Source organism: Homo sapiens, chromosome 4 (assembly GCF_000001405.40).
Source record: "Homo sapiens chromosome 4, GRCh38.p14 Primary Assembly".
Taxonomy (NCBI): Eukaryota; Metazoa; Chordata; class Mammalia; order Primates; family Hominidae; genus Homo; species Homo sapiens.
The window spans coordinates 153,967,460-153,989,723 of NC_000004.12; the positions used below are offsets into that span (position 1 = coordinate 153,967,460).

General features: G+C 40.1%; 1 long non-coding RNA gene across 1 annotated transcript in view, besides 1 other annotated feature; it reads left to right on the top strand.

The window, feature by feature from the left end:
• The window catches only part of LOC101927947 (uncharacterized), a 469,997-nt gene that overhangs the window by 138,637 nt on the left and 309,096 nt on the right, over positions 1 to 22,264 (top strand). The gene's annotated exons all lie outside the window — the stretch shown is intronic.
• Positions 19,952 to 21,151: an enhancer, noted in NCBI's record as "BRD4-independent group 4 enhancer chr4:154908563-154909762 (GRCh37/hg19 assembly coordinates)". NCBI's record gives its function as "activates an origin of replication core promoter dependent on BRD2, P300/CBP, MED14 and CDK7 cofactors, and independent of BRD4, by STARR-seq in HCT116 cells {active_cell/tissue: HCT116}" and the evidence as "EXISTENCE:reporter gene assay evidence [ECO:0000049][PMID:35650434]".

Genomic DNA, 22,264 nt, shown 5'->3' on the forward strand with positions numbered 1-22,264 from the left:
TAGCTAACCAGGAATTTGAGCCAGCAGGGACAATCCTGCAAAAATGCAACTCCAGGACAGACCTGCCACTGTAACTGACATGGCAGTCTGACTTGTCACCCCTAAAGGAAGGCTTTCCAAAGGGTGGCTACCTGGGAACTGTCATGCTTGTCATCAAAACAGAGGGTAAAGCATTTTGTTAGATAAACCCAGCCTGTTTATAGTATTCTACAGTGTATATAAAAGTCAGTGGTTGGTTACTAGCTTGTGGTAAATAGTTATAGGCAGGAAAATGCTATCCTATATGGTTGGCATAAAGTCTAAATGATATTTCCACATCTAAATGTACTCTCAAAGGTAATAACATGTTGCTCGTGATTACTGCAGAGCTGATAGCACTGCCAAGTTTAGATTTTTAAAACCATTCCTATTATAAGCTTTTTGACTCTTGACTGCTATGCAAGCTGGGGTTTTCTTACTAGCTGGCCTGTTGAAGAAATTGGAGCTGGGGTGCAAGAGAAGGTGTAAGGCAAGAAAATAATTGTGATTTACATGTTATTTTATTTAGAAATTGAGCAAATATTTATAAGGAGAGAAATTCTCTGATACAGTTGTTATTGAAAGTAACTTTTAAAAGACAAAGGCTTGATTCTTAAATGCTTCTTACCTGTATTTCCTTAATGTCGCCTTAATTTTCTACACATCCATGAGCACAATTTATTTTCTTGCTAGCCTTCTCTTTCTTTTTCTTTAGTCCTTCCAAATTTCCTTTCACAATATCTAGCTTGGAATCTAGGGTAGAGCTGAACGCCCGCGTGATCCCCAGCCACGAGGCACTAGGTGTTAGTTCTGCTGCCTGGGTGGGTTTTCTTCTGTCCTTGACAATCCAGCTCTGATGCTATGGGGGACATGAGGCATAGGGTACAGTTGTGGTTGATGTTTCCCTAGTCCTCTCCTGGGAATGATTGTGTGGCCAACTGAGACCATCAGCAGTGGCAGTGGCAGTGGCAGGTCACATAGTCTAGTGGGTGGAAAGAGCCCTGTACTCAGGGTAAGGTTAGCTGGGTTCTGGTCCTCACTTCTGTGTGGTCCTGGGCAGATCACTCAATTTCTCTGAGAATCTTTTTCCTCATCTATTAAGTGACAGTGTTGGATGATGTAATCTCTAATTCCTTTCCATTTCCAATGTTCATGATTCAGGAGACTCAATTTGATCCAAGGCGTATCCAATTCTATTTAATAAGAGTCGTGTTATGATGGGATTCCTCTCTACATTCTCAAAAGAAAATAAAAATAGATATTTATTTTGGAGTTATAGTAATTGAATGTGACTGCTTTTGGTGAAATTCCAGAATCAGGGAGCTTACTAGGCATTAATGGAGGAGCATAATGAGCCGAGGTCTCAGTCTGATTTTTCATTTTAAATTGGATATGATTGTTTCATCTTGCACTTATGTACCCTGAAAATATCAGATAGCAACAGAGCACAGTCAGAATTCCATGCAAATCTGTTATTCTCATGGCAGGTAGAGTTGCGCAAGTCTCTAGAAGGGAGAGTATCATGGTAGTTAGTGGGGACCCCTGTCTCAAATGTCTCCTTAGTTAGTGTAAGGAGCTATAATCACTCCAGCTCTCTGTACTTCATTGCATGTGTTCACATAGATGAAAATTGTTGGACAAAACAGCCAAACTTGTGGTTGAAGCCTAGTGATTGGAGAGAAAAGACAGAACTAAATAAGAGCTCTCATTTATAAAATGTTGAAAAGAAAATCAGGCTGGGTGCAGTGGTTCATGCCTGTAATCACAAGGCTTTGGGAGGCTGAAGCATGAGGATTGCTTGAGCCTAGGAGTTTGAGGTTGTAGTGAGCTATGATTGCACTACTGCACTCCAGCCTGGGTGACAGAGTGAGATCCTAACTTAAAAAAAAATGAGTACCATCTAGGAATCTGATTCATACAATCATCTAAACCAGAGGATCTCAGCTTGATGTAAGGACACACTGGTGAGTCTCCATTTTTTTGGGATGTGTTGTGAATAACGTGTTCAGATGTATTAGGTATAATAGATAAAGTAATCTAGTTGCAAAATTTCACATGAAAACAATTAGAGCAGATTCAAGGTTATCCCTTTAATATTTTTATTTCTTTCATTTGAAGTCCAGTGTTTTTAAAAGTGAGAGGAAAAGGGGGTTTAATTACAACTAGGGTACAGGGAACTATGTATTACTCTGGGGGTTTCCATGGGACTGAGTCTTGCATATGAACTCATCTTGCCTGGCAGGAAAAAAAAAGTTGAAAACTGCTGAACTAAAAGATCACTTGTGAATCTCATAGCAACCTAGATTGAGCAATCACTAGGGACTCAGTGAGTACTAAAATTGATACATGTATCATTATTTGTCACTGGGGTGATCACACACACACATTCAACTTGCCTTTATATATAAGGTACACATATTCACTGTAAATGAATATTTAGATATTTGGAATATTTAGATATAAAAAGTAAATCATAATCCCAGGTGCAATCATAGTAATCTATCTCTAAGAATTACTCTGATAATTAAATGAGTGAATATAGCTGTCAAATAGTACAGCTGTGCCTGGCCCAGAGCCAGTAAGCACATCTGAGTGTAAACTGGGATCATGATCATGAACTCGGGCAAACATCGTTTTGATTAGCCCTATAGCTGCTCCTCCTCCAGCGTTTCCTAACTCAGTAAGTGGCACTCTCATGTTTTAAAGTTATTCAGGCCGAAACTTCACTCTTTCTATGTCTCTCACTGTGTAACCAGTACATTAGATAATCCTACTGATATTACCTTTAATATATATCCATGCATCATACAAAGATTAATAATTAATTGAAACAATGTCTTATTAATGAAACTTTGGATTGATTTCAAATTTTTCCCATCATAAAAACTGCTGGCGTAAGCATCTTTAGGAACACTCCTAATTACCACAGGATAAGTTGTTGGAAGTGAAGGGTGACCTCAGATATAATTATTTGCAGGCTTTTACTACACTACAGAGTCCCAGATTCTCTTTTAGGGTAGTTGTGCCATATCTGATTCCACCATCAATATAGAGACAACCTTTATTATAAAGCTTGCATTTGCATAGAAAGATTCCAGAGGTGGAGTTTTATTTATTGAGCTTGAATTGCACCAGAAAAGGTCAAGTATACTCAGCAGCATTTCAGATGTTTTGGGGGTGGCAAATATGAAAAAATATGATGGAGATAATTTTGATTTGAAGCATTAATGCACTTTTGGACTGTCGATTTGCAGAACAGTGAAAGGACTGACAGTCCTCAAAGCCAGGCAAGCACAGCAACCACTCTTCTCCCAAATGCAAAAACCCTGTAAGACAAACTATTTCTAAAGCTGATAATTCTGCCCTAACACAGGATGGTTACATCACCTCAAGTTTGAGTAAGGAGGAAAGAGAGATTTTTCCAGGAAATACTGCATGATTTCAAGGATTCTTGAGCAAAGATTGACAGAGAACATTCGTGAAGATGTATATAGGCAGTTCAGTCTTGCTTGCATGACTTTCTCTAAGATATACCAGCCCCCACGATCCAAGTGTTTCCCTTGTAATGTTGGTTAAAATCAGAGATTCCCATGCCAAGTATGAATGAGTTAAAAAATGTGCATTTTTGTGGTGCTTTATCTATTGGTCTTTAATAGACTTTTAACAGAAGTGGGAATAGAAGTGGGAATAGAAGTGGGAATGGAAGTGAATCACCCTGCTGGCCCTAAGGAGGCCTAGTAGCCACCTGGTTTAATACTTATGGTTAGAAATATAGAACTACCCTTGCAGTTTTGTGCAACTTGTGTTCAGAGAGCAGGGCTGGAAAAATTTGATATTCCAGAGGGCCTGCAGTAGGTTCTTCAGAAATTCCTGTGAGCCAGTGTCAGGAGAACAAGGAAGACTGTTACAGGAAAGCTATGAATGTCTGTAGAATTGTACCCTTTTCTCTTATCCCTATTCTATTGCTTGGGGACTTTGGTGTTGTTTTTTTTTCTGAGGATCCGAGGGTCGGGGGTGGTATTAGATCTGTGTTTCCTGGACATAGGGCCATAGCCTCCTCATACTCACACATGCTCGTCCTCTTAAACCTGGCAAGAGACTTTAGATAGGTAACCACCCTGCCACATGGTTAGGGGTAGATACACTTCTCTAGATGTTATTCCATCATCTCTCTAGTCTTAGGAAGCATCTCTGTGAGCAATAAAGTTAACTGACTCCAAATTTTTCTGATTAAGAGCAGAACAGAATCCTGCTAACATCACCATTACTGCAAAGATCTTAGACAAGAAAGAGGAACTTTTGGAAATATTTTGTAATCCACCCTGCTCTTTGTGAATGCTCTACAGTACTTAATCCATACAACAAGTACTTCTTTCTTGGGAATAATTTTAAATTTATTATTGTGGAAGCCCTAGTGATAAGCTGTGTAATTCCGATTCCTGCCCAGAGGTGTTGAATCGGCCAAGGGAAACTACGAGAATGAACCCAATTTCTCAACAATTTCATATGTTGGAGAATTTACTCATCCCATGTTCCAAGTGTTGCCCTAAGAGCCAGCGTGGAGCAGGAGACATGCATTAGCTCCATACCCCCTGCTTCCTGGACTCACAGAGTGGAAACTGGTCTCTCCATGACTCAGGGTGAGGAGGTTGGACTGGGGGCCCTGCTGTTCCCCCTCAGGGTGTCTGATTTTTATCTCCCTGATTTCACAGTTTGTTAATAACATTTTTGAAAGTTCTGTGGGCTCCAAAATTGTTTCCACAGTTTTATTTTATTTTTGGCATTAAAGATTTAATTTTGCTATTTCGTGAGAGTGAAAATGCTCTTGTCCTGTGATTTAAGTGTGTGACATTTCAGTGTTAAGTCCTGGACTGGAGAGCTGTAAATTGACTTTTTCTGGGTCACTTGAAGGTGAACTAAATGGTTCTCTCTTGTTCTGGAGAAAGGGTCTTCCCTTGCAGAAGCTGCATCCAGACAGCCCTTGTACAAGTCACATGCATGGCACCTAGAAAGAGGAAGTTTGGGAGCTTGATTCTACTGGAATCAACCTGTGCTAATGGGCTAATGAACTAGGTGAGACCCCTTCAGAGCCTTGCCTGCTTCAGTCAACAGACTTTGAGCGAGCATTTCCTATGTGCCATGCACAGTGTATGAGGTGCTGGGGGTACAAACAGGGAGAAGACACAGTTTGTGTCTCCCAAAGGCTCAGAGTAGGGAGTTGTAATTGGAGGCTGGGGCCACATTGCAGCTCTGCTGCTTACTCATTGTATAACAAAGTCAGTCACTTGACCTTGGTGAGTCTCAATTTTCTCATATGTAAAATGACTCCACACATCTGAGGTGTGATGAGAATCAGTTGTCAGTTGTCAGATGCCGTCCACAGTCCTCTGAAGTTCACAGTTGGAAATATAAACGAGTGCTTGCAATTATGTTCTTCATCCTTCAGAGACTTAGTCCTTCATCTGTAAAATAATTTCTCTACTCCTCAGGGTCGTGGTGAAGATGAAGCAGAATGATCTCTGAAAATCTTCTCTAATGGTGCTAGCATGCGCTAGTTGCTCAATAAGTATTACTTTTCTACCCTTCAAAACCTTCCTGTGGCCCAGATGCCTGGTCTGGCATAGAGAGGTTAGTTAGGGAGGTATGTTGTTTGAACCCTGAGGTGTCCTCCTACCTTTCTATCTGTTAATTTTGTATTAATTTTCAACACATATTAAACTTGGGAGTTTCCAATAAAATTCTGGTTTCCTGCTTCTCCCTTTTAAATATGTTACCAAAAGCAATACATATACAGAATTATAAAAAGTCAAATAGTAGATAAGAATTAGAAATATCAGTTTCCTACCTTCCCGTCCTAAGTCAGATTCCCCAGAGACAGCTGTTTTTGTTTATTTTAGCTTTATTCCTTAATATGTAGTTCTATATTTCTAAATAATATGATACTGCTACTTCTCATTATAATTATTGACTTTTCTTATAAAAGATAAAAATTTAAATCCCTTAAATAACTCATGATATGGCTTGGCTCTGTGTCCCCGCCCAAATCTCATGTTGAATTGTCATCCCCAGTGTTGGAGAAGGAGCCTGGTGGGAGGTGGTTGGATCATGGAGACAGATTTCCCCCTCAATGCTGCTCTTGTGATAGTGAGTGAGTGCTTGAAGATTGGTTGTTTAAAAGTGTGGCACCTCCCCTGTTTCTCCCTCTCTCTCCTGTTTCATCATATGAGGACAGTGCCTCCTTCCTCTTCACCATCTGCCATGACTGTAAGTTTTCTGAGGCCTCCCCATAAGCAGAAACCTGTACAGCCTGCAGTCCTGTGAGCCAATTAAACTTCTTTTCTTTATAAATTGCCCAGTCTCAGGTAGCAGTGTGAGAACAGACTAACACAGAAAATTGGTACCAGAGAAATTGGGTATTGCTATAAAGAAATCTGAAAATGTGGAAGGGACTTTGGAACCAGGTAATGGGCAGAGGTTAGAACAGTTTAGAGGGCTCAGAAGAAGACAGGAAGATGTAAGAAAGTTTGGAACTTCCTAGAGAGTTGTTGAATGGTTGTGACCAAAATGCGGATAGTGATAGGGACAGTGAAGTCCAGGCTGAGGTAGTTTCAGATAGAGATGAAGAACTTATTGGGAAATGGAGTAAAGGTCACTCTTGCTATTCTTTAGCAAGAAAAAACAAACAAACAAAAAAATAAAACAAACAAAAAAATGGCAGAATTGCGCCCTGTTCTAGAGATCTGTGGAACTTTGACCTTGAGAGAGATGATTTATGGTATCTGGTGGAAGAAATTTCTAAGCAGCAAAGGGTTCACGATGTGGCCTGGCTGCTTTGAAAATCCTATAATCGTATGCATATGCCAAGAAATGACCTAAACTGGAACTTATATTTAAAAAGAAAGCAGACCATAAAAGTTTGGAAAATTTGCAGCCCAGCCATGTGGTAGAAAGAATAACCCATTTTCTGGGGAGGAATTCAAGACAGCTGCAGAAATTTGCATAAGTAAAGAGGAGCTGAATATTAATAGCCAAGACAATGGGGAAAATTTCTGGAAGGGATTTCAGAGAGCTTTGCAGCAGCCTTTCCCATCACAGGCCCAGAGGCCTAGGAGGAAAGAATGGTTTTGTGGGCTGGGCCCAGGGCCCTGCTGCCTGGTGCAACCTTGGGGCACTGCTCCCTGCATCCCAGCTGTTCCAGCTTTGGCTAAAGTGTCCCAGATACATTTCAGGCCACTGCTCCAGAGGGGACAAGCTGGAATCTGCCAAGCCTTCCACACGGTGTTAAGCCTGTGGGTGCACAGAGGACAAGAGTTGAGTTTTGGTAGCCTCTGCCTTGATTTCAGGGGATGTATGGAAATGCCTGTATGTCCAAGCAGAATTCTGCTGCAGAGGCAGAGCCCTCATGAAGAATCCCTACTAGGGCAGTGCAGAGGGGAAATGTGGGGCTGGAGCCCCCACACAGAGTCCCTACTGGGGCACCACCTAGTGGAGCTTTGAGAAGAAGACCACTGTCATCCAGAACCCAGAATAGTAGATCCACCAACAGCTTGCAGTGTGTGCCTGGTAAAGCTGCAGGCACTCAATGCCAGCCCATGAAAGCAGCCATGGAGACTGTACCTTGCATAGCCACAGGAGCAGAGCTACTTGAAGACTTGGGAAACCCACACTTTGTATCAGTGTGATCTGGATGAGAGACATGAGTCAAAGGAGATTTTTTTTGAGCTTTAAGATTTAATTACGGCCCTGCTGGGTTTCACAATTGCATGGGGCCTGAAGTCCCTTTGTTTTGGACGATTTCTCCCTTTTGGAAAGAGACTATTTACCCAATGCATATACCGTCATTGTATCTTGGAGGTAACTAACTTGTTTTTGATTTTACAGGCTCATAGGTGGAAGGGATTTATCTTGTCTCAGATGAGATTTTGGACTGTGGACTTTTCAGTTAATTCTAAAATGAGTTAAGACTTTGGGGTACTGTTGGAAAGGCATGATTGTGTTTTGAAATGTGAGAAGGATGTGAGATTTGGGAGGGGCCTTGGGCAGAATGATATGATTTGGCACTGTGTCTCCACCCAAACCTCGTGTTAAGTTGTAATCCCCAGTGTTGGAGGAGGGGCCTCATGGGAGGTGGTTGAATCATGGGAGCAGATATCCCCTTCAGTGCTGCTCTTGTGATAGTGAGTGAGTGCTCAGAGACTTGGTTGTTTAAAAGTATGTGGCATCTTCCCCCTCCCTCTCTCTCTCTCTCCTGTTCTGCCATGTAAGGATGGTGCCTCCTTCCTCTTTGGCTTCTACCTTGATTGTAAGTGATGTAATTTGGCTGTGTCTCCACCCAAATCTCATCTTGAATTCCCATGTGTTGTGGCAGGAACTGGGTGGAAGGTAATTGACTCATGAGGGCAGGTCTTTTCTGTGCTGTTTTCATGATAGTGAATAAGTCTCACAAGATCCGATGGTTTTAAAAATGGGAGTCTCCCTGCACAAGCTCTTTTCTTTTGTTTGCCACCATGTGTGATGTGCCTTTCACCTTCTGCTATGATTGTGATGCCTTCCCAGCCACGTGGCACTGTAAGTCCATTAAATCTCATTCTTCTGTAAATTGCCCAGACTCAGGTATGTCTTTATCAGCAGCGTAAAAATGGACTAATACAGTAAATTTCTTGAGGCCTCCCCATAAACCAAAACTTGTACAGCACACCCACAGAACTGTGAGCCAATTAAGCCTCTTTGCTTTATAAATTACCCAGTCTCAGTTAGTTTTTTTTATGGCAATGCAAGAATGGACTAATACAACTCATAAACACACCAACTTCTCTCCAGCCTCATTCACCCAAGGCAGTTATGTCATAATTATTTTTTAAATTACTCAATATTTACATTATTGGGTTGATGTAAATATTGCTCACAGCTTACCATGACTACCTTTCTTTCTTGTACCAGCTTTTTGTTTTTCTTGGAGTTTAAATTATCTCTTTCTCTAAATAAATCTGTCTAGTGTTATGTACCTATACTAATTAGTTTCCACATTCTTCAGGAGAAGATGGTTTTGGAAATTGATTCCACTTCTTTCCTTGGTGATATTTCTTCTGGAGTATTTCATTTTCCTATTGTAATCTGAACTGGGGGAATTTCCAGGCCTGCTGCATAGGTACAGATCTGGGTATTCCCATTATTGTTATTCTTAGACGTCTCTTCACAGCTCTTCTGAAACTATATTTCTCATTTTCTGCATGTCTCTGTTTACTGTCTTATTTTTGTGAAGCCATGTGTCAGTAGCTTTCTGACATAGTGTTACATGGGAGGTAATATTTTTGAGACCTTGGCCATCAGAAAATATTTTTATTGTACATTTACACTTGATTTTGCTGCTGATAGAATTTTAGATTAAAATATTTTAAAAAGTTAGAATACTGCTAGCATTGCTCCAGCATCTTCATTTCAGAGTGCTTTTGAAAAATTCAGTGTCTTATTGATGCCTGACTCTTGGTATATGCCTGTTTTTTCTGTCTGAAATTTCTTAGGATTTCTTTTTATTCCTAATATTTAGAAATTTCACAGTGGTTTGCTTTGGTGTGGTTTGTTTTTCATTTATTGTTCTCAGCACTTGGTAGGCCATTTCAATTTGGAAACTCATGGCCTTTAGTTCTGGGAAAGTTCTCTATATTATCTGATTTTTACTTCCATCTGTTTACTTGGTGTTCTTTCTGGAATGCCTATTAGTCAGAGGCCAGACCATCCAAATCAATCCTCTATTTAAAAAAACCTTTTCTCTCCTATTTTCCACTGTGTTATTTTTTGGTCCTATTTCCTTTAAGATTTTCTCAACTTTACCCTCTTTTTATTCTATGTTTAAGATTTTTGCCTCCACATTTTTTATTCCAACAATTCTTTCTTATGCTCAGAAAGTTCCTTTCATTTCTTTCTAAAATAATATACTATTCTTATTATTCCTCATCAAGAAGGCAATATTTTCTTTTGTCTCTGAGAATTTTAGATTGAGGTTTAAGTTTCCTTCTTTCTCTGCATGGTCTCTGTTTCATCCAAGTTTCTTTTTGGATTGTTAATTTTGGTCTTTGTATTTATTTCACGTATCTGATGATCATTGCTGACTGTGCTGATACAGGAGTAAGGTAGGGTTCAAATCAGCGGTGTACCTAGCATATTTGATATCTGGATCAGATCAGTTTATGCACATATGTGAATATATTTATTTATTATAATACATATATGTGTTTATATATGTACATATATAGCAAAATTATTGTCAGTAATTGTAAAATCAGTTATTATTTTTTGGTTAGTTCTTTAGCTGAAAAACAATGAATAGAAAGGAGAATAAATTTCTGTTTTAAAGATTTTATTCAAATTAAGTGAAATATTTTATGTATAAAATAAATTTTGCAATTGCCAAACAAAAGTGTTATTCTTCACAGTTCTCTGTGTCACTGCTTTAATTTGTAAACATAAATAAAAACTCCAAGTGGTTATGTAGAATGACAAAATTAAGTAATTCAAGGATTCTTTTTCTTCACAATTACTTGGTGGTGGTGTTTATTTCTTTATTTTTATTTTTATTTATTTACTTTTAAATGTATTTCTTTTATTTTATTATTATTATACTTTAAGTTTTAGGGTACATGTGCACAACGTGCAGGTTTGTTACGTGTGTATACATGTGCCATGTTGGTGTGCTGCACCCATTAACTCGTCATTTAGCATTAGGTATATCTCCTAATACTATCCCTCCCCCCTCCCCCCACCCCACAACAGGCCCTGGTGTGTGATGTTCCCCTTCCTGTGTCCATGTGTTCTCATTGTTCAATTCCCACCTATGAGTGAGAGCATGCGGTGTTTGGTTTTTTGTCCTTGAGATAGTTTGCTGAGAATGATGGTTTCCAGTTTCATCCATGTCCCTACAAAGGACATGAACTCATCCTTTTTTTGTGGCTGCATAGTATTCCATGGTGTATATGTGCCATATTTTCTTAATCCAGTCTATCATTGTTGGACATTTGGGTTGGTTCCAAGTCTCTGCTATTGTGAATAGTGCCACAATAAACATACATGTGCATGTGTCTTTATAGCAGCATGATTTATAATCCTTTGGGTATAGACCCAGTAATGGGATTTCTGGGTCAAATGGTATTTCTAGTTCTAGATCCCTGAGGAATTGCCACACCGACTTCCATAATGGTTGAACTAGTTTACAGTCCCACCAACAGTGTAAAAGTGTTCCTATTTCTCCACATCCTCTCCAGCACCTGTTGTTTCCTGACTTTTTAATGATCGCCATTCTAACTGGTGTGAGATGGTATCTCACTGTGGGTTTGATTTGCATTTCTCTGATGGCCAGTGATGATGAGCATTTTCTCATGTGTCTTTTGGCTGCATAAATGTCTTCTTTTGAGAAGTGTCTGTTCATATCCTTTGCCCACTTTTTGATGGGATTGTTTTTTTTCTTGTAAATTTGTTGGAGTTCATTGTAGATTCTGGATATTAGCCCTTTGTCAGATGAGTAGATTGCAAAAATCTTCTCCCATTCTGTAGGTTGCCTGTTCACTCTGATGGTAGTTTCTTTTGCTGTGCAGAAGCTCTTTAGTTTAATTAGATCCCATTTGTCAATTTTGTCTTTTGTTGCCATTGCTTTTGGTGTTTTAGACATGAAGTCCTTGCCCATGCCTATGTCCTGAATGGTATTGCCTAGGTTTTCTTCTAGGGTTTTTATGGTTTTAGGTCTAACATTTAAGTCTTTAATCCATCTTGAATTAATTTTTGTATAAGGCGTAAGGAAGGGATCCACTTTCAGCTTTCTACATATGGCTAGCCAGTTTTCCCAGCACCATTTATTAAATAGGGAATCCTTTCCCCATTGCTTGTTTTTGTCAGGTTTGTCAAAGATCAGATAGTTGTAGATATGCGGCATTATTTCTGAGGGCTCTGTTCTGTTCCATTGGTCTATATCTCTGTTTTGGTATCAGTACCATGATGTTTTGATTACTGTAGCCTTGTAGTATAGTTTGAAGTCAGGTAGCATGATGCCTCCAGCTTTGTTCTTTTGGCTTAGGATTGACTTGGCAATGTGGGCTCTTTTTTGGTTCCATATGAACTTTAAAGAAGTTTTTTCCAATTCTGTGAAGAAAGTCATTGTTAGCTTGATGGGGATGGCATTGAATCTATAAATTACCTTGGGCAGTATGGCCATTTTCATGATATTGATTCTTCCTACCCATGAGCATGGAATGTTCTGCCATTTGTTTGTATCCTCTTTTATTTCATTGAGCAGTAGTTTGTAGTTCTCCTTGAAGAGGTCCTTCACATCCCTTGTAAGTTGGATTTCTAGGTATTTTATTCTCTTTGAAGCAATTGTGAATGGGAGTTCACTCATGATTTGGCTCTCTGTTTTTCTGTTATTGGTGTATAAGAATGCTTGTGATTTTTGCACATTGATTTTGTATCCTGAGACTTTGTTGAAGTTGCTTATCAGCTTAAGGAGATTTTGGTTTGAGACGATGGGGTTTTCTATATATACAATCATATCATCTGCAAAGAGGGACAATTTGACTTCCTCTTTTCCTAACTGAATGCCCTTTATTTCCTTCTCCTGCCTGATTGCCCTGGCCAGAACTTCTACCACTATGTTGAATAGGAGTGTTGAGAGAGGGCATCCCTGTCTTGTGCCAGTTTTCAAAGGGAATGCTTCCAGTTTTTGTCCATTCAGTATGATATTGGGTGTGGGTGTGTGATAGATAGCTCTTATTATTTTGAGATACATCCCATCAATATCTAATTTATTGAGAGTTTTTAGCATGAAGCATTGTTGAATTTTGTCAAAGGCCTTTTCTGCATCTATTGAGATAATCATGTGGTTTTTGTCTTTGATTCTGTTTATATGCTGGATTACATTTATTGATTTTCATATGTTGAACCAGCCTTGCATCCCAAGGATGAAGCCCACTTGATCATGGTGGATAAGCTTTTTGATGTGTTGCTGGATTCGGTTTGCCAGTATTTTATTGAGGATTTTTGCATCAATGTTCATCAAGGGTATTGGTCTAAAATTCTCTTTTTTGGTTGTGTCTCTGCCGTTCTTTGGTATCAGGATGATGCTGGCCTCATAAAATGAGTCAGGGAGGATTCCCTCTTTTTCTATTGATTGGAATAGTTTCAGAAGGAATGGTACCAGCTCCTCCTTGTACCTATGGTAGAATTTGGCTGTGAATCCATCTGGTCCTGGACTTTTTCTGGTTGGTAAGCTATTAATTATTGCCTCAATTCCAGAGCCTGTTATTGGTCTATTCAGAGATTCAACTTCTTCCTGGTTTAGTCTTGAGAGAGTGTATGTGTCGAGGAATGTATCCATTTCTTCTAGATTTTCTAGTTTATTTGCGTAGAGGTGTTTATAATATTCTCTGATGGTGATTTGTATTTCTGTGGGATCGGTGGTGATATCCCCTTTATCATTTTTTATTGCTTCTATTTGATTGTTCTCTCTTTTCTTCTTTATTAGTCTTGCTAGCGGTCTATCAATTCTTTTGATCTTTTCAAAAAACCAGCTCCTGCATTCATTGATTTTTTGAAGGGTTTTTTGTGTCTCTATCTCCTTCAGTTCTGCTCTGATCTTAGTTATTTCTTGCCTTCTGCTAGCTTTTGAATGTGTTTGCTCTTGCTTCTCTAGTTCTTTTAATTGTGATGTTAGGGTGTCAATTTTAGATCTTTCCTGCTTTCTCTTGTGGGCATTTAGTGCTATAAATTTCCCTCTACACACTGCTTTGAATGTGTCCCAGAGATTCTGATATGTTGTGTCTTTGTTCTCATTGGTTTCAAAGAACATCTTTATTTCTGCCTTCATTTTGTTATGTACCCAGTAGTTATTCAGGAGCAGGTTGTTTCGTTTCCATGTTGTTGAGTGGTTTTGAGTGTGTTTCTTAATCCTGAGTTCTAATTTGATTGCACTGTGGTCTGAGAGACAGTTTGTTATAATTTATGTTCTTTTACATTTGCTGCAGAGTGCTTTACTTCCAACTATGTGGTCAGTTTTGGAATAGGTGTGGTGTGGTGCTGAAAAGAACGTATATTCTGTTGATTTTGGGTGGAGAGTTCTGTAGATGTCTATTAGATCGGCTTGGTGCAGAGCTGAGTTCAATTCCTGGATATCCTTTTTCACTTTCTGTCTCATTGATCTGTCTAATGTTGACAGTGGGGTGTTAAAGTCTCCCATTATTATTGTGTGGGAGTCTAAGTCTCTTTGTAGGTCACTAAGGACTTGCTTTATGAATCTGGGTGCTCCTGTATTGGGTGCATATATATTTAGGATAGTTAGTTATTCTTGATGAATGGATCCCTTTACCATTATGTAATGGCCTTCTTTGTCTCTTTTGATCTTTGTTGGTTTAAAGTCTGTTTTATCCGAGACTGGGATAGCAACCCCTGCCTTTTTTTGGTTTCCATTTGCTTGGTAGATCTTCCTCCATCCCTTTATTTTGAGCCTATATGTGTCTCTGCACGTGAGATGGGTTCCTGAATACAGCATACTGATGGGTCTTGACTCTTTATCCAATTTGTCAGTCTGTGCCTTTTAATTGAAGCATTTAGCCCATTTACATTTAAAGTTAGTATTGTTATGTGTGAATTAGATCCTGTCATTATGATGTTAGCTGGTTATTTTGCTTGTTAGTTGATGCAGTTTCTTCCAAGCATTGATGGTCTTTACAATCTGGCACGTTTTTGCAGTGGCTGGTACCGGTTTTTCCTTTCCATGTTTAGTGATTCCTTCAGGAGCTCTTTTAGGGCAGGCCTGGTGGTGACAAAATCTCTCAGCATTTGCTTGTCTGTAAAGGATTTTATTTCTCCTTCACTTATGAAGCTTAGTTTGGCTGGATATGAAATTCTGGGTTGAAAATTCTTTTCTTTAAGAATGTTGCATCTTGGCCCCCACTCTCTTCTGGCTTGTAGAGTTTCTGCTGAGAGATCAGCTGTTAGTCTGATGGGCTTCCCTTTGTGGGTAACCCGACCTTTCTCTCTGGCTGCCCTTAACATTTTTTCCTTCATTTCAACTTTGGTGAATCTGACAATTATATGTCTTGGAGTTGCTCTTCTCGAGGAGTATCTTTGTGGTGTTCTCTGTATTTCCTGAATTTGAATGTTGGCCTGCCTTGATTGGGGAAGTTCTCCTGGATAATATCCTGCGGAGTGTTTTCCAACTTGGTTCCATTCTCCCCATCACTTTCAGGTACACCAATCAGACGTAGATTTGGTCTTTTCACATAGTCCCATATTTCTTGGAGGCTTTGTTCATTTCTTTTTATTCTTTTTTCTCTAAACTTCTCTTCATGCTTCATTTCATTCATTTCATCTTCCATCGCTGATACCCTTTCTTCCAGTTGATCGCATTGGTTACTGAGGCTTGTGCATTCATCACGTAGTTCTTGTGCTGTGGTTTTCAGCTCCATCAGGTCCTTTAAGGACTTCTCTGCATTGGTTATTCTAGTTATCCATTCGTCTAATTTTTTTTCAAAGTTTTTAACTTCTTTGCCATTGGTTTGAGCTTCCTTGTTTAGCTCGGAGTAATTTGATCTTCTGAAGCCTTCTTCTCTCAACTCATCAAAGTCATTCTCCGTCCAGCTTTGATCCATTGCTGGTGAGGAGCTGCATTCCTTTGGAGGAGGAGAGGCACTCTGATTTTTAGAGTTTATTGTTTTTCTGCTCTGTTTTTTCCCCATCTTTGTGGTTTTATCTACCTTTGGCCTTTGATCATGGTGACGTACAGGTGGGTTTTTGGTGTGGATGTCCTTTCTGTTTGTTAGTTTTCCTTCTAACAGTCAGGACCCTCAGCTGCAGGTCTGTTGGAGTTTGCTGGAGGTCCACTGCAGACCCTGTTTGCCTGGGTATCAGCAGTGGTGGCTGCGGAAGAGTGGATACTGGTCAACCACAAATGCTGCTGCCTGATTGTTCCTCTGGAAGTTTTGTCTCAGAGGAGTCCATGGCCGTGTGAGGTGTCAGTCCACCCCTGCTGGGGGGTGCCTTCCAGTTAGGCTACTCGGGGGTCAGGGGCCCACTTGAGGGGGCAGTCTGCCTGTTCTCAGATCTCAAGCTACGTGCTGGGAGAACCACTACTCTCTTCAAAGCTGTCAGACAGGGACATTTAAGTCTGCAGAGGTTATTGCTGTCTTTTGTTTGTCTGTGCCTTGACCCCAGAGGTGGAGCCTACAGAGGCTGGCAGGCCTCCTTGAGCTGTGGTGGGCTCCACCCAGTTTGAGCTTCCGAGCCGCTTTGTTTAACTACTCAAACTTGGGCAATGGCGGGCGCCCCTCCTCCAGCCTCGCTGCCGCCTTGCAGTTTGATCTCAGACTGCTGTGCTAGCAATGAGCGAGGCTCCGTGGGCGTAAGACTCTCCGAGCCAGGTGCGGGATATAGTCTCCTGGTGTGCCATTTGTTTAGCCCATTGGAAAAGCGTAGTATTATGGTGGGAGTGACCCAATTTTCCAGGTGCCGTCTGTCACCCCTTTCTTTGACTAGGGAAGGGAATTCCCTGACCCCATGCACTTCCCGGGTGAGGCGATGCCTCACCCTGCTTTGGCTCACGCACTGTGCGCTGCTCCCACTGTCCTGCCCCCACTGTCCGGCACTTCCCAGTGAGATGAACCCAGTACCTCAGTTGGAAATGCAGAAATCACCCATCTTCTGTGTCCTTTATGCTGGGAGCTGTAGACTGGAGCTGTTCCTATTCGGCCATCTTGGCTCCACCCCGGTGTTTATTTTTTAATCTACTGCTTAAACACAGGAATATGTAGTGCCACAGGGATTGGAGACATGGACTGAGCTAAATCAAAGTGGAAGAATTTGGCCCTTTGAACTTACTCTCAAAGGTACCATATACAGCTGTGTTTTTGTTACTTGGAAATTGACTGAATAATGGGGAGTTTTCTGAATGAACTTTCAGGTAGAACACTAAAATGTGCCAAGTTGAAGTTTACATTTATGTTACTAATATTCAATTATAGTCACAGCACTTGCAAAACTTAGACCCAGAAAACATTTTTTTTTGGAGGAGTACTCTATCACTGAAGTTGAGCCATGTTACTCAGAACTGCTGCACAGAGTAATAATAAAAATCAAACCAACTTTTAATCAATTTAATTATTGGTTTTAAATTATCTATAAACAGTTCTTCATTGCTCACACCCTAGGCTTATAGCTCCCATCCTGCCCTTGCTGTGCAACAGGGGCCAGTCACCTGGATTTTTCACTTGGTGTTCCATAGATGTCATTTCTTTAGGGCTTTTCTCTAGGGTCAGATTTTCTGGGGAGTATATAGCTGCCAGCATTTTGGGAGCTGCATGAAGGAACAAGGCTAGGTAGTTATGTTCAACATGTAGAGTCTTACTTAATCCCCCTCTTTTCAGTAGGTGGCTCCCATCCCACAGTTTGCTCAGTCACACACAGTTTGCTCAGTCAACCATTGCTCAGTGGTTCTGTTTTAGTTTTTTTCATAAAGTAAACCTTCAATCTGCTTCTAAGATTATGGATTGAGGGCCACTTGGAAGCACAGGTAGAGTAGGATCTAACTGCTCCCTAAATGGACTTTCAACCACTTTCTTCTGCTTTTCTTCCCAATCTTCGACTCTGCTTTTAGAGATACAGGTGCATCCATTCCTGGCCATCCCTAGAATTTTGTGTACCAAATCTGAATTTTTGTTCGCTTGGCATTCTCCTCTGTTGTCATTTTAAATCTTAACTTTTCTACTCAGCTAGGTTATTTTGTTTTTGTTTTTGTTGTTGTTGTTGTTTGTATTTTAAGACAGGGTCTTGCTGTTGCCCAGGCTGGAGTGTAGTGGTGTAATCTCAGCTCACTGAAGCCTTGACATCCTGGGCTCAAGTGATGCTCCCACCTCAGCCTCCTGAGTGGCTGCGACTAGAGGCGGGTGCCACCCCACTTAGCTAATTTCTGTATTTTTTGTAGAGATGGGGTTTTGCCATGTTGCCCAGGCTGGTTTTGAACTCCTGGACTCAAGCAATCCTCCTGCCTTGGCCTCCCAAAGGGCTGGGATTACAGGTGTGAGCCACTGTGCCCAGCCTAGGTTAGTTTTAATCAATTGATTTCCATCTTCTCCAGTTTGGCTGGCATCTCTTTGATCTCTTTCTCTTTTTAGGTTGATGTTATGTAACATTTTTCATGGCATTTTGAGATGGAGCAAAGACGAATGTATTATTTCATCTATTTTATGTAATTGGAAGTCTCTTAGTAATTCTATTTATTATTTTTATGTAAAAGTAGACATTGGCATTTTAGGGAACAAAATGTAAAATTTAAGGTTTAAACTAATGTTTTGAGAAAAACAATTTCAGAGCTATTTTAAAGTTGAGTTGTGCCACTTCTTCTACCATCAGACCCCCAAGAGAATGAATTTGCTCCACTAATAGAGGTACACATGTGTGAGAATCCATTATGAGGCAAATTTTAGATAAATGCATTTGGATACAGGTTCTCACTGAGAAGGAATCAGCAGGTCAGAAAAATCCCTCCTCTAGTTAACCGGAAACAGTCATGCTTTACAAAATCATATGTTTTCCACCAAGCATCCCATAAGATTTGAGGGTCATAATACAAAATGATCAGAGTAATTAAAAGAGGGAAATAGCCATCCAGCTAAATTCCTATGAGCCCTGGTTCATATGAGAATCCTCACCCAGCTTATAGCTCACAGTTAAGAGCTAGCTCAACTTGGGGGGACTCTGGAGAAACTTATTTGCTTTTCTTGTCCTATAAGGTTGGACCGTAAAAGGTGTTTTGTTTCATGCTGTTTGCTTATTTTAATTGATAATAGCCAATGTTTGGAAGCACCTGGAAACTGGAACTCTAATAGCTGCTATTGGAATCTTTATTGGAAACAGTTCTTGGTTGCAAACAACATAATTCACTATAACTACTACAAGGAAAAAGAAAAAAAAGAATTTATTTAAGGTTACTAAGTATATTGCAAGTTATGTCTCTAGGACAATGTGAAAAGCTTAAGAAATGTGCAGGGGAAGAAACAAGGAAACATTTATCTATCAGCTCCTAGTTCCTATAGTGAAGATTTGGCTATGGAGTGTTAACTATCTTGCACTACATGATTGCATGTGGGTGAGTGCAGAATGGGTTCCTGTGGTTCTCAGGAAAGCTTTGGGTAGGGGAGACCTAAAGGAAAAAGAAAGTCTGTGCTAATTGTTTTTAAAGGAAGAGTTTAGGATTGAAGGTTGAGAATGAAATACATAGAGCTTTGGGGAAGTTGCGAATAAGACTGATATTGAGAGGGAAAATAATAGAGAAAGAGGGCTTTAAGAAATATCATTGTGGGTTATAAATGGATTTTCCTTTGACATCCTTTAAGAAATTCAAGAAAATATTGGAATTGCTTTTAATTACTTATAGTTCCAGGACTGTATTTACTTGAATGCTATAACTTGCAGAGACTGGAACACATGGGGCTCTAGTTTATAAACAGTTGTTAAAAGTACAAAGTACTCTTCAGTTAGTTAGAACGAGGTTCTTCAGTAAGAACACACCCATCTTCAGCCTCAATGGATTTCTGATATGAATTTTCTAATGGTTCTCAAACACCTGAATTGTATCACAAGTAGGACAACTTAAAAACAGTCTCTGGAGATTTGACTCAGGCTGTATTGTTTGAGAATGAGCTACGTTGAAAGTCACTTAATCAGCCTTTAACCAATTGGGTGCTTATTCCATTTTTTTTCTCCTAACAATTCAGGAGACATCCACAGGACACTGGATTCTTTGGGAAATATCACCAAAAAAAGAAGGAAGATGTAAACATTTAGAAGAAAAATCTAGAGAATTTAAAATCATATAATGACATCTAGAAGTCTAGACCTACATAAAAGCTTACTTTCATCTTTGATCACCCAGACCATTGCAAAGAATTTGCAAGGAAGAGAACACGTAGACTCAGTGATTCAGGGGCCTGGAATCTCCCTTTCTCTTGAGAGAGCTAAGGGTTATGTCCATACATAACAATGAGGGGAAAACTAGGCACCCAGACTGACTTGTGGGATCAGGAAGATGTCCAAGGTCAGAGCAGGCAAGTCTGGAAAAATAAGGAAGGAATTAAAGGTCACAGCAGATAATGATCTGAGCCCAGAAAAATCAGATCAAACTGGAGTAACTGGAAGGCTCTGAAAAGTTGAAACAGAACACATCTGGCCTTCAAGAGGTTGTATAATTCCAGGATGTGGCATTGGCCAGGAGAAATGATTCTAAGTTAGAAGTTTTAGAGAAATACATTATTTACCACTTATTAGCTATATAACCTTGGACAAATCATTTAATCTCTATGAGCCCCTTCCTTTCATTGTAAAGTGAGAATAGTAAGGCTTATCTTCTTGTAAGGATTAACATATGCAAAATGTCTGGAATAGATCTTGATTGATAGGTGCTCAAAAATTAGATAATTATTTCTAAGACTGAAGCTTTTTCACATCAGGAAACCTTGTGCCTGTCTCCATGTGCTTCTACTGTAATCTATTATGCTCTCAGTGCGGCTTCAGAGAAAGGATAAAGCTACTACCACCTCCCCTTCCCCCACCTCCTACCTTCACCCTCTTCACATGCCTCTGACTCTTCTCTGCTAAACTCAAATAAAACATTTAGAGACATATGATGGCATCTGTATAGATGTGGCTCGGCTTGAAATTTCTTACTGACCTTGACTGTAAGAGTGACCAGGATAGGGAAGAACCTCAAAATCATATCATATGAGGATTGAATTCACAGTGGAAAAAAACAGGGAAATTTCATTTGGAACAGAAATGATAAAAATCAAGGAATGTATGATAGCCATCATAAAATATTTGGTTCAATTTGGGTCTATTCTGGGGAAATAGTGATGTCTTTACCCCTGGGTGGCCACTTCTGGGGGATTTGAAAAGAGAGTCCTTACGTGAGAAAGAGTGAGACTCCAAGAATCTCCAAGGTCTCTTGACTTGAGAGTCTATGGTTTTAGGAGCACAGCTGGCCCACGTGGTGTGTGTGGCATGGGCAAAGGTGCTGAGTTCTTAGGAAGCAGCTCTGGGCATGGTCCAGCCTTCAGGCATGAGCCATGCCACAAAATTTGCTCTTGGCATGCAGGGTTGTGGCCTTAGAATCCTTCTTACCATAATTCTCTCGGCGCTGTCTCAATGCATTTCCTTTCCATTCTTCTTTGTCACCAGTTGGCAATTACACGCTACAGAAAATGTACACAGAAGGGGTTTGTTTTGGTTACCATGTAGCAGGGTGGGAGGGAGCTACGGCTGGTGGCTGATTCTCTGGGGTGACTGGGCATGGGTTATGGGAATGGAGGATGATGTCCCTCATCGGTTCCCAGAGAGTTGCCTCACTAGCACCCTGGAGCCTGTGAATAGTGTTTAAATCAATGGTCAAAGTGAAGAGGGCAGCTTAGTCCTCATTACTCCCCAGGACTAATTGACCTCTTCTGAAAAGGTACATTCTTGATTTGGTGAGACTCTTCCTCATCCGGAAAGGCAAGTGAAGCAAAAAGATCTAATGTGAAAGGGTGGGGGTGAGGGGTCAAGGGTGGCATTGAAGGGAGGGAAAGGTGCAGAGCATTCACTAAATCATTTCCACCAGAACAGAGGAGAACAAAGGCATCACCATCCTGAGAGTGTTTGTGAAGGACTCATACAGACCGAACACTGCGCAGAGCCTGATGACCTTTTCCTGCCCTGGAGATTCTCAGTTTTGTCATTTTGATGAATCTCTAAGTTGTGTTCACTGTGAGTACCTCTGATAGCAAGTAAGCAATTTAACATAAAAGGTCCTTTGAAAGAAATGCATCAAAATTGAGTCAGGCTCAGTGCTGCTCCAAAGCATGCCATTTATTTTTAATTGTTCCCCCCATCCATCTCAGCTATTAAGAATGAAAGAGAGAAGGGAGAAAATAAAATGAAATTAAAAGAAGCAAGACACAAAAATGAAGTTTGATTTCTTTCTGAATCCTCTATTGGTGATATAAAGCTCAGATATTTATGCTACCATCCCGTAAGAGCCAAAACATTCATTCAGTTTGTGGGAATCAAATCTCAGAGAAGTCATGTTGAATATTCAATTTGATGCCTCCCGAGAGAGTGTATATTTAAGAATACAGAGCACCATAAGAACATGAGTTCCAAATAAAAAGCATAATGTTGCCATCCACTGACAAGTTTGTTCTTTGATCAGTGTGATGTTAATAATACCAAAGAAGCA